We start from the raw sequence: 12,972 nt of genomic DNA, 5'->3' as shown, positions 1-12,972 counted from the left end.
CTCATGCTTGTAATCCCAGCACTTTGGGAGGCTGAGGCAGGCCGATCATGAGGTCAAGAGATTGAGACCATCCTGGCCAACATGGTGAAACCCCGTCTCTACTAAAAATACAAAAATTAGCTGGGCGTGGTGGTGCATGCCTGTAGTCCCAGCTACTCAGGAGGCTGAGGCAGAAGAATCGCTTGAACCTGGGAGGCGGAGGTTGCACTGAGCCAAGATCGTGCCACTGCACTCCAGCCTGGTGACAGAGTGAGACCCTGTCTCAAAAAAAAAAAAAAAAAAAAAAAAAAAGAAAAAAAAAGAAAGAAAGAAAGTGCAGAATTCCTGGCAGGGCCCAGGCTGACATGTACACCTGAAGCAGAAAGACTAGCCCAGGGCCTTGGCTAGCTCTGCTCACAACTGGAAGCAACTTGCTCTCCAGCCCCAGGTTCATAAGCACCACTCCCCATTTCCTCTTTTCCACTCATTCAGCCAGAGAGGAGCCACACCACTCCCAGATCCTCCTCACATTGCAGCTTAGGAGTTCCTGGCAGCAAATACAAACACACGGCTCATGCCTGTAATCCCAGCACTTTGGGAGGCTGAGGCGGGTGGATCACTTGAGGTCAGGAGCTCGAGACCAGCCTGGCCAACATGGTGAAACCCCATGTCTACTAAAAATACAAAATGAGCCGGGCGTGGTGGCGGGTGCCTGTAATCCCAGCTACTCGGGAGACTGAGGCAGGAGAATCACTTGAACTCGGGAGGCAGAGGTTGCAGTGAGCCAAGATTGCACCATTGCACTCCAGCCTGGGCAACCAGAGCAAAACTCTGTCTCAAAAAAAACCAAACAAACACACACAAATGAGAGTGACAGCTCCCATCCTGGAAACTAGATTCCCCTTCACCCTTTCTCAGGCAGAAAGATGCAGGGGAATAAGCTAAGCTCCCAGGGTCACAGTCGGCCATTGGGTAATTCCAAGCCTCATGCCTCGCTTCTCCCAGCTCCCAGCTCCCAGCTCTGTGCATGAGCTTTGGCACAGTTGAGGCTAACGGCCAATCAGAGTCTGGCCTGTCAATGTCACTGGGAGATCATTTTTCACACTGTGACAGCCACAGAGCCAAAGTAGGTAGAAGGTGTGGGGGAGGGGGCCACCAGGCTTCAGCCTCACTCCCAACCCAGTGACACCATCACTGCTGGCTGCCGTCCTCCCTGGCCCACCATGCTTGCACATCCTGTTCCTTCCTACCTGGCTAAAGGCTTTGACTTAAGCCCACTCTAATGTTCAGGGTTTTGAGAAGCAGGAGGTTCATTATCAGGGCAGTAGGGATAAACACCTAGGCCATCAAGAGATTGGGATCCCACCCAAGATGTTGACTATTTTCCTACTGATGGGGGAAGTTACCAATTAATCATTCCTAGGCATCAGTTTCCTCATCTGTTAAATGGTTATAATACCATCCTCATGTATGAGAAGTGAAAGAATGTCCCCAAAGCACTCAGCTTGGAGCCTGCCACATGCAATAGATGTTGCTTACATCATCATCATCATCATCAGAGGAATGCTCATGAATTTGGAAAGGGCGCTTAGCCACAATTTTGGGCAGGGGAGTGGAAAACAGGGCTGGTCCATTGATTCATAGGAGAAGGATGGTAACCCTGACTTTCACTTTCCTGGTCTGGGCTTTGTGGAAATGGGGAGGAAGTGGCAGAACAACTATATGAGAAAGGAAGTCAGGGAAGATGGGTGTTAGGAAAAAAGAGAAACCGAACTTCTCCAAGGCCTGGCTAGTGCCAGAGTCTGGGCTAGAAACACAAGATACTTCATTTAGTCTTCCCCAGAGCCCAGCCAGGCAGGTAAGGTTTCTGTCATTTTGCAGAAGAGGAAACTGAAGGTTAGTGATCATAAGAGACATGCCCCAAGTCCCTTGGCTGGTTAGGAGATTATGCTGAGACCTGAACCCAGCTCTGGCTGACCTTGTCAATGTGAACAGCAATTTCACACCACCGGTGGAGAGAAAAGCTACCTCCTAGACATAAACATCAACGAAGGCCAAAGCTGGAAAGTGCCTTCATCCATAAGTCCAGTACACCTTTTGTAGATTAAGGAAACCAGGCTCAGAGAGGTTAAGTAACTTGTCGAAAGGCACACAGTGAACTGGTGATGGGATAAGAACCAGAGCCCAGAGCTACAACTTTGTGCCAGGTCACTTCAGAATGGTCTCAGAATGCTCACAGCTCAGAAATACATACCTGTATTTGAAAGGAAAAGAGACATTTTGAATGTGCAGAAGGAAAGTTCCAGGAGTCTCTTGGTGAGGAGTTTGGGTGAGTGCCTGTCCTTTCCTGCTCCTTTTTCATCTCACACCAGGGGGCTCGCCCTCCTGCAGAGCCCCTTCCTCCCTCTGCCGTCTGAGGATTTCACAGCTGACTCTGACAATGAATATGATTTCCTCATCTCAGTCTTACTGAGGAGAAAGGATCAAACACTGCACTTTCAGGATTCGTGAACTATTGTTGAAAGGGTAATAGACCCCTGAACATGTAATTTTTCAGGAAACTTTTGGGTCTTGAAAATATACATTGTGTCAAGAGCCTGCATCATTTGAAAGAACATTCTTGCCAATCTTGAAAGGATTTTTGTAGCTGTTGTTGAGAGCTGTGCCCAACAAAAGGGGCTGGGTTAAATGTTTCTTATTAAGCTAACCTAGGATCATAGCTGTTTAGGTGCGTTCGACTTGAATCATTCTTATCACAGTGACAACAATATTATTCACAACAGTAACTATTTATTGAATGTTTATCTCTGTGTCTGGTACTGTGCTGAACATGTTACATGAGTTCATCTCACTCTCACATACACCCTCCACACACACCCCTGCCAAGTAGGTAGTGTAGTTAATATTGCCATTTTACAAGTGAGAAAATTGAGGATCAGGGAGGTCAAGTCACTTGCCCAAGGACACACAGATGTTTAGAAGCCAGGTTTTAAACCTGGGACATGCGCCTCCAAGCCTTCATCATGAAGCCATTGATTAAAGAGACATCAGATGAAGACACACCCACCTGTCTTCCTATGTCTCGCCAGCCATTCCTTTCAAACAGGTATGCCCAATTCCTCACTCTTACCTGTGAGCTTGGGCCTATTACAAGGCCTTCATATATCCAGTCAACAAACCTCCCCACATACTGACTGTTATGGTCTAAACATGTATGCCCCTACCAAAATTCTATGTTGAAACCTAATCTCCAATGTGGTATTAAGATGGGGGGGGGGGGCCTCTCAATGAGCCCAGATGAATGGGATTAGTGCCCTTATAAAAGAGGCCTGAGGGCACTCCTTCACCTCTCACCCTTTCACCACCTGAGGATGCAGCAAGAAGGCCCATCTAGGAGAAGGAGGGCCCTTAACAGATTCTGAATCTGCCAGCACCTTGATCTTGGACTTCCCAGCCCCCAGAACTGTGAGCAATATATTTCTGTTGTTTTTCAATTACCCACTCTAAGGTATTTTGCTTTAGCAGCCCAGACAGACAAAGACACAGATTGTCTAACTAGGAGACAGGTGCTATCCTGTGCTCTGGAGATCAAAGGGTGAAGAAGGTGATGTTCTGCTTTCAAGGTCCCATTGTCTACCGGGTGAGGCAGGCCATAAACGGGGACATGAGGCCCCCAGTGATAACAGAACAAAGGGTGGAGGGGATAGAGCTAGGAGCAGCCAAACCTGCAAAGAATGTGGCACTGAAGCTCAATCTCTAGGAAATTTCAAGGATGAAGGGGAGCTTGCTTGACACAGAGGAGGCCCAGGGGCCATTTTATGCTGAAGGCACAGCATGGACGACAGCACAGAGGCATGAAAGGGCCGGGCAGGCCCGAGATCAGTGAGAAGAACGGCCTGGATTCCAGGCGTCGTCCTGACCTTGCTGGAGCATTCGGCGCTCGCTGCCCTGACGGCTGTCCTGAATTCTCACTTCCTTCTGTATGTTCCTAATCCCCTTCTTTGATTCCTGGGGCTCTCTATTTCTGCTGGATTTGGCTGTGTTTGTCTGCTTGGCTGTTGCCCACTCACCAAGTTTCTGATTCACAGCATCTCTTGACTTTTATACTAACAGGTCCTAAATTTTTGGAGGGCCAAAATGGTTTCTAAATTTAGGACCCCTTAGGATCCCTGCTTCCCAGCACTGTGCTGGGAAACGAAATAGGTGCTTTAAAAATCGTGGTGGTGAGGAAATTCTATCCTGGTTTCTGTTTGTTCCTCTGAGGATGGTGCCCACAAGTCCAGGGCACACTCTGGGCCACTCACCAGGTGGAGGGCTTCAGACCCCTGCCTCCTGAGCCAGGTGCTGGGAGGGCACTTCCCCCTGCCCTCCCTCTTCTGCCCTGGCCTCCTATCCTTGGCCTTCCAGGTACCTGTCCCTGAGTCTAGCCTCCTGAGCCAAGTTTTCTGGATGGGAAGGGAAGGTCACTGTAACCATCCAATGTCCATGGTAGGCTTTGGGGAGGGGGTCCAGAACCCCTTGACATACGCCATGTTTTGGCGTGAGTGCATCTGTGTGTTTTTAGGGAAGTAATTCAACATAGGGTTTAAAGAATCAGGCTCAGAAGCAAGGGTACCCAGGTTCAACCCTGACTTTACTACTTAGTAAGTGGTATGGGTTGATTGTGTCCTCCAAAAAGATATGGTGAAGTCCTAGCCCCCAATACCACAGAATGTGACCTTATTTGCAAATTGGGTCCTTGCAGATGTAATTAGTTAAAATGAGGTCATTAGGGTGGGATCCCTAGCCCAACATGACTGGCGTCCTTTTAAAAAAAGAGGAAGAAGAGACACAGACAGACATAGAGAAAGATGTGAGCATAGAGGCAGAGACTGGAGTTATTCAGCTGCAAGCCAAAGACTGCCAAGCATGGCCAGCAACACCAGCAGCCAGAAGAAAGGCATGGCACAGACTCTACCTTAAGAGAGTACGGCCCTGCCCACACTTTGAGCTCTAGTTCAGATCCAGCCCCCAGAACCATGAAAGAATACATTTCTGTTGTTCAGGGCACCAGCTATGCTTCCTTATGGCAACCCTAGGAAACGAATGCACAAAGTATAGCTGTGGCTGAGTTACTTAACTTTCTATGCCTCAGTATTTGCATTTGGCGAGAATAAATAGTATCTGCCTTTGAGGCTTGTTCAGAGGTTAGATAATCCATGGAAACATTCAGCATAAGGCCTGGCACAGGGTCAGTACTCCATAAAAGTTGCCGTCATTCCTACTTACATGTTCATTTTTGTAGGAAAAGGGACCATGGATTTTATTTGATTCTCAAATAGATCACGTCCCAAAAAGAGAGTTAAGAAGCACAGTCCTGGGTCTTTCTATCTACAGGAGACTGCGGCAAGAGATGGGCAAAAGGCCACCCCTGCCAACCAGAGCCTTGTGGAACTCCACCCTCCTCCAGGGCTCTCAATCCTGTGATTGTGTGCAAGGTCCTGCTCTGCCACAGAGGAAAGATGCTGGAATTCTCTGAGCACCTCCTCTGCACTGGAGTTGCAGGAGGTACTCATGATTCACAAATATGGCCTCATTGCATACTTATAACCATTCCAAGAGGCAAGAAAAATCATCTCCATTGTATAGATGAAGAAATCAAGTGATCAGTCCCTCTTGCTCCCTCCTGCTAGAGATATCCGTCACCCACCTTGCCTGGGACATATCTCAGAGGACCATGAAACTTCACAGATTTGACCAAGTGGGTGGATAGACGTGGGGATCCCAAAACCAGAAAATCATGGGGACAAGTCCTCAACAAACGTCACAGCTTGGCCACAGAGAAGTGCTAACTTAGTGTTAAACAGGAAGTCAAAATTGTTTAGGAGACAAAAGTGGAATGAAATCATCCTCTGGCTTTTCATGTGATAATGGAAAATTACATCACAATCCACCGAGTTACAGACTGTTACTCCTGATTCTCCCTGTGCCTGCAGACTTCTCCATGTCCACCCCCAACCAGATGATGCTAATGAATGGGTATGTTCTCTGCTAGGAGAGGGCAGACACCATGTCGCCCAGGGCATTTCCTTTTTGGCTTCTGCTGCTAAAAATGTCCAGCCCAGGTCATTGCCCAAATCCAAAAATCTACTTAGCCAAGTCCCTCAAAGCAATGACTCTTCTTTCCACTTCCATGAGATAGCTCAGTTCCCTTTATTTGGCCAAGCATTGTCCTTTAATGCATGAACTTCCTCAAGCCACCCAGGAAAAAGCTGGAAAGCAAACCCCAAATGCACAGTTACAATGCAACGGGCCATTAGCTTAAAGTTTCCAAGACATTGGCAGGAAGATGACTTTTCCCAGATGGCAGAGCCACATCTGGAGGAGTCTGAGGAGTGCAGGAAGCATGGAGGCATCTTGGCCAAGTGGTGATTTCTTCACCCCAAGCCATGGCTAGGTGTGTGTGCCAACATCTGCCACCTACTTATGTTTGGAGCTAGGTAGGAATGGCTGATTCTATCTTTAAATTGGTTCAATCCTTTTGACTAATTTTGTGGGTTTGTTCAATCCCCCAAAAGTCAAAAGCCTTTTTCAACTTTTTATTAAAAACAACTTTTCTCTCAAATGTGTTAATTAACTGAGTGAGTGCAAATGACCAAACCGGTTGGGTATACTTGTATATACAACCAAAGCCACACATGTATATCAGGATGGAGAAATGATTGAATTTTTTTACCTACTGGTAAGAAATTACCACCTGTCTTGATCCTGGGAGGGAAGAAGGGATATAAATATGAATCATCCAAACTGAGTTTCTGCCTGGGGGGAGTTCACAATCTGCATGCCTCTCCTTGTCCCTTTTCCTGCCCCACCTGTGTTGATTTGGACCCAATCTTGGCCAGCATAGGGTCTGAATTCTGATCTTCTGGGCCACCTTTCCTAGAAAAGAGAATCTTGAGAAGAGATGTTGCAGGAGATAGCATTTCTACTCCATTCCAGATGTATCCTTCCTAGGTTATTTCAACATTTCCTTCCCAGATATGAGACGAGATGCCATATGTGAGCACAGAACTCCGTCTGCATCTGGCAAGCATGCTGACATTAGTTTCTTCCTCGGTGGTAGTAAAAAGACAAGTTGCGGAGACCTCAGCCAGCTCCCCCAGATACCCTGGGAGTCCTGGAGCAGCTTAACACAACTGGGCCAAGTGGCAAACAGAGAGAAAAGCAAGCAATGCCCGGCAGATTCCAACACCTCTATGTAATGATCACCAAAGCTCTCAGACACCCAACTTAGCACAGAGCCATATTCTCTCACCTGGATATTTTTTAAAAGAAGCAAAATTCCTTGGAAGCTTTTGGACCCTTTTCTAAGCATAACTCAGCAGTGCCTCCCAACTCAAGTTTGGGGTTATGAATCTTTCTTTATCATCATAGCCTACCAAGTCATTGCCTCACACTCTAGTCTGGTCACCAATTCAGGAAGTGGGCCCCCCAATAGCCTTCTCGTACACTTGGAACTTAAATACTGTAAAAGGCAACAGCATTTACAGCAAACTTGAGTGGCCCAAAATATGCAGTTCCATTCACCTGATCTCCCAACTCCGATGGACTCAGCAGCCTTGCCAGAAAGCACAGGCTCCCACTAATTCACTACCGACCTGCCAACAGCGTGCTGCCAATCTCCGGGATACAAGAGGGCTCAAGCATTCATCATCCCCCAGTGGGATGTTTCACTCTCCCCTGACTTTGTTCTGGATGTTTGGAAATAGAGCGATGTTGATGACTTCTTTAGAAGAAAGTGCCACAGCCACTTCCTCACAGTCCCATGGCCAGCCTCCCAAAATGCACCACATAAATATTTATTATAGCGCAACAGGGGTCAGCCTGAGTTCATTAGTTTTTCTGATTATCCCCGGCATTTGATGTGAGAAGGAAATACTGTAAATATTTACTGAGTACTCTGATCGGAGAGTCTGACTTTGGCTCCAAACGGCTCACCCACATCTCTCCCACAGGCGAGACAGGCACCAGCCCACGTGCACTGAGGGAAAACCCACAGGGAGATGGTGGAGTTGCAGCTGCAAGCCAGGACGGCCGCTCTGAGAAGGAACAGGAGGTGCCCTGAGCTCTGAGTTTCTATAATGGAAGCACCTTTAATTATTCATAAACACAAGGGTTTAACATTATTTATAGTATTAAAGTTAATCATTTATTTAGCACAGTTTCTCCAAACGAGCTCAAGATAACCTTTATAATGCTCATTTAGCAGCAACTTATAATAATTAGTACTTGTTCCTTTTCTGTCTGCCCAGCTAGACCATAGACATCCCAAAGGGAGGGCCAGTATCTGACTGGTTGTCTGCTTTATTTCGTGTTTAGAACAGTCTTTTACATAGTAGGTGCTTAATATGTATTGGTAGATGAAATACGTCAATTAAGACCTTGGCTTTTCATTTGACTTCCAAAAAGGCACTTAGAAAATCAAAAAAAGATACTATTTCAAGGCTTCCTTCAGTTCAGGTAGGTTCAGCTCCCAAATTTGGATCACCTTACGTGTCTTTCTCTGGGGTCGTCTAAAGAGCCCTGTACAGAGTTAGGAGGCCTGGTACTCTTTCCACCACTGACCAGCCATGTGAGTCAGGCCTAATAACCTTAAAAATGAAACACAAACCCACCGCTCTAGTAATATCATTGCATTTTTAAACAGGTCTTAGAAATGGAAAAGTCTGGACTTGAAGGGCCAGCATTGACTTAGACAGGCACTGACTTAGGTCACTGATCAAGAATTTTTCATGTGGGATCCTTGGATCCCCTAGAGATTCATGCTTCTAGGGCTATGAAACACCTGAAATTGTATGCACAGATGCAAACAATGCAAATGTCACTTACATCTGGTAAGAGAGATTGCATAGCCTTAACTAGACTCTCTAAGGACCCCATAATAAAAATAAAGTTAAGAATCGGTCTCTCTGTTTCTCTAAGAGTTGGGATGGTGGTGGGACAGATTAACTCTGGCCTACTTGGCACATAAATCCATGGTGAACATGCGCACCCTCTCCTAGCACTGGACACCCCTTCCATCTTCTATCCCTGCCTGAGGTTTGCTCCCACCCTGGTCTATTAGCCCATCCTCCCTTCTGTATCCTATGCCCCCAAAGTGACCAGTGGCTCCACTGGCCAGGACTGAGGACCTGTGGATTGATGCATCACTGTGGGCCTTTCCAGCCCTACATTCAAGCCCATGTCTGGCCTTTTCCTTCTCATCTTTGAGTGCACAATGCTGTACAAATGTACATTTTACATTTGCTACATTCTAAAGCAATAGTCTTTTCTATTCGAACCTGCCTGTGATGCTGGCTTTGTGGAATGTTTTTGAGAGAAAGAGTGCCGGTGTCTCTCTAGGACTATGAGGGTAGTGAGTGCAGGCCTGATTGCCCTGTTCTGTGTAGAGCAGAGCATCTGCATGAGTAGTATCAAGGCTTGGGTCCTATAGCCCATATTCCAGCCAGGAATTAGTAGGGGGAGATCAGTTGGCTGCATTACTAGCAGTTTCTAGTGGCTGTGTGTCAGCATCCATTTGGTGAAAGTGCTATTTGTCTTGACTCTTCTGCCTGCCATTTAATCATTAGAGCACCTGCCCTTCGAGTTCAGACTTTTCCATTTCTGAGACCATTTAAAAATGCAATGATATTATTAGAGGAGGTGAGGTAGGGGATTTGTGTTGCTTTTTTAAGGTTATTAGCTAACATCTTAAGTTGTCACGCTAGCAAAACCAAGGAGAGTCAGCTACTTGAAAGTGGGTGAATAATTTTATTTCTGTGGGCTCTTGTTTCCTCAGCTCCACAATGAAGTGGTTGGGTTACAGTAAGCAAATAGACTTCAACTCCAGTGTAACTCTGGGTGCCTAGCCCCACACTTCTCAAACTGTATTGTGTATAGAGATCCTCCAGGATCTTCTTCAATGCAGATTGTATTAGTCCATTTTCACGCTGCTGATAAAGACATACCCAAGACTGGGTAATTTAGAAAGAAAGAGAGGTTTAATGGACTGGACTCACAGTTCAATGTGGCAGGGGAGGCCTCACAATCATGGTGGAAGGTGAAAGGCACATCTTACATGGTGGCAGACAAGAGAGAATGAGAGAGCCTATGTAGGGAAACTCCCCTTTATAAAACCATCAGATCTCATGAGGCTTATTCACTACCAGGAGAACAACACAGGAAAGATGTGCCCCCATGATTCAATTGCCTCCCACTGGGTCCCTCCCACAACATGTGGGGATTATGGGAGCTACAATTCAAAATGAGATTTGGGAGGGGACACAGCCAAATCATATCACAGATTATAATTCAATAGTCCTGGAGCAGGGTTTGTGATTCCAAACATGTCTATCAAACTCTCAGATGATGCCAGTGCTGCTGGTCCATGGAGCACATACGTAGCAAGGTTCTAAACCACTGTATCAGGAGAACGTTGAGGCTAGTCTGGACCCATGAGGAAAAAGTAGCAGGACTGATGAGAAGGAAGAGGCGGAAGGTGAATTTTTAATACTCAGACTAGATGTTTCTAAAGGAAGCACCTTTGAAGTCTAACACTGTCATTCTCAAAATGGGTCCCCTGATTAGCAGCAACAGCATCACCTGGGAACTTGTTAGAGCTGCATAGTCTTGGACCCTGTCACCCCAGAACCTACTGAATCAGAAGTGGGCTTCTGCGATCTGGAGTTTAACATGCCTTCCAGGTGATTCCAGCGCATGTTCAAGTTTGAGAAGCATTCATCAACATACGAGTCTTCTACAGAGTGAATGACTGTCAGCTCAGGTCAGGAATATGCACAGCTTCAGCAAGCGAGACAGGGGTGTTGTCCCAAGGGAGAAAAGAGGTCTAGATAATACAACCTGATGGAGGCCAAAAATACCCCTCCCTATTTACTTCGTATTCAACTATGGAGCTCTGATAAAAATCATTAAATATTAAGAGGGCACTTCAAGCTTCTTTGGTACCCCTCAATTAAGTTTATTTTCCAACCCACAGAATGTAACACAGTAGCATGATCTACTTGTCATTCCCACAGCCTTGGGAATTGCACCTAGTGAGTTTCAGACAAAATTCCATTTTGTTCATAGCTGGCACGTGAGCTGAGTCTCCAGCTTGACCAACTGTTTCTTCCTAATTGGACTGTTTCCATATGCCTAGACATTTTAAATAGCAGTCTCCAGAAATAGTCGGGTGCTGAAAACTTGGGTTCAAATAGAGTCCTGGCCCAAGAAAAATTAATGATAGGCCAACCACCTGTACCTTCTTAAAAATGGTAGAAAAATAATCGATACATCAAAAAGTAGGAAAGGGCTCTCTCCTTGTACCCCATCTCCACTACTCTGGGAAAAATACTAAAAATCAAGAAAAACAACACTCGGGTGTGAAACAGATTATGAATCAGCTGGAGGCAAAGAAGTTGCAGTTCTATCCAATTACACAAATTTAATTGGGTGTTAAAAAAAATCCTAGGTCACAACAGTACTTTCTTGGCCAGACAGAGGTCTGTACTGAGAGTGAGTAGCACCTCTATTTGTTAGGAATTGTGATTTCGGGCTGGGGAGGGAAAGCATCACACATTGCTTAGAGTACCCCAAGATGGGCGCCATTTTGACTTTGAGGAATCTGAAGCCTGGTTTGGATGGTAAAGACTTCAAAGTTCTTCTCTGGGACTTAAGAAGGCACGGTCTGAAGCAAGTCCCTCCAAATTCTTTTAGACCATGGGCTACTAGGGAAAGTCCTATATTCAGTCTCTCCCACTCACTTCTTGTAAATCTCAAATCAACATCCAAATATGTAAAAAACTGCACACAACTAGAATGTCTAACTGTGAGAGAAAGGTTGAGAGACTTACGCTACATGGATAACATGGTGACCAGTGAGGCCAGCATAAACATTCATGAAGAATTTCTAATGGCAGGGAGAAATGCCTGTGATCGAGTGTTTAAAAATGTAGGGTACACGATTGTGGTATGGTGTGTTCTCATCAATGTCCAAAAGGACATAGAAAAGTAGCCCGAATTCATAAGTGATTTCCATTCAACGATGGATTGACAGGCAATGGTATTTTCTCTATCTTGTTTTATTGCATTTTATAAAATGCCACAACTTCATGTATTATTAATGTATTATTAATTTCTTTTTTTTTTTTTTTTGAGACAGAGCTTCACTCTTATTGCCCAAGCTGGAGTGCAATGGCATGATCTCGGCTCACTGCAACCTCTACCTCCCAGGTTCAAGTGATTCTCCTGCCTCAGCCTCCCGAATAGCTGGGATTACAGGCACCCACCACCACGCCCAGCTAATTTTTGTATTTTCAATAGAGACAGGGCTTTACCCTGCTGGCCAGGCTAGTCTGTAACTCATGACCTCAGGTGATCCACCTGTCTTGACCTCCCAAAGTGCTAGAATTACGGGCATGAGCCACCGTGCCTGGCCTATTATTTTTTACACAGAAACAATAAGTTTAATTTAAACAAATTTGCTCCTAGTTAGATGTGCCACTTTAATTTGACTGGTCTGTCCTCTGTACCTGGCTCACACTTTTTTCTTTCAAACCCTCTTCTCCAAGCCATTCCTTCACCTGGCATAGTCTCCTTGCTCCTCTCTGCCTATAAAAACTTTCTCCATCCTTCAGCCTATTGGGTCCCCTATTCTTCCATGGAAGCCAATGGGACCATTCCAGTTGTACAGCATCCCCTCTTCTGAACTCCTGTACCACTGTTTCACCTACACCATTTGGGAAGCCTTGGAATGTGAGAATATTTTACTATCAGCATGTCATGGGGCCCAGGCATCAGTACTTTTTAAAACTCCCTAGGTGATTCTGGTATGTAGCCAGGATTGAGAATCACTCTAATCAAGTCAAAAGTCACCTCCTATCTATACAGTAACCATCTGTCCCAGATTTTCTGTGCCAATTCTAATTCGAATGTCTGTCATCGATCCCACATAAACCATAGAAGCTTCACAGAAAT

At 45.8% G+C, this 12,972-nt stretch overlaps 2 annotated features.

Annotated features, from left to right (window-relative positions):
* Positions 1,105-1,399: a silencer, noted in NCBI's record as "tiled region #9752; K562 Repressive non-DNase unmatched - State 24:Quies". NCBI's record gives its function as "represses a minimal TATA promoter and a strong SV40 promoter by Sharpr-MPRA in K562 cells {active_cell/tissue: K562}" and the evidence as "EXISTENCE:reporter gene assay evidence [ECO:0000049][PMID:27701403]".
* Positions 3,393-3,893: an enhancer, noted in NCBI's record as "H3K4me1 hESC enhancer chr10:115161035-115161535 (GRCh37/hg19 assembly coordinates)". NCBI's record gives its function as "activates a minimal SCP1, AML or CMV promoter by ChIP-STARR-seq in primed H9 embryonic stem cells {active_cell/tissue: H9 hESC(primed)}" and the evidence as "EXISTENCE:reporter gene assay evidence [ECO:0000049][PMID:30033119]".

This window comes from Homo sapiens, chromosome 10 (genome assembly GCF_000001405.40).
Source record: "Homo sapiens chromosome 10, GRCh38.p14 Primary Assembly".
NCBI classification, from domain to species: domain Eukaryota; kingdom Metazoa; phylum Chordata; class Mammalia; order Primates; family Hominidae; genus Homo; species Homo sapiens.
The sequence above is the reverse complement of the archived record's forward strand: the minus strand, read 5'-3'. Positions and strand labels throughout refer to the sequence as shown.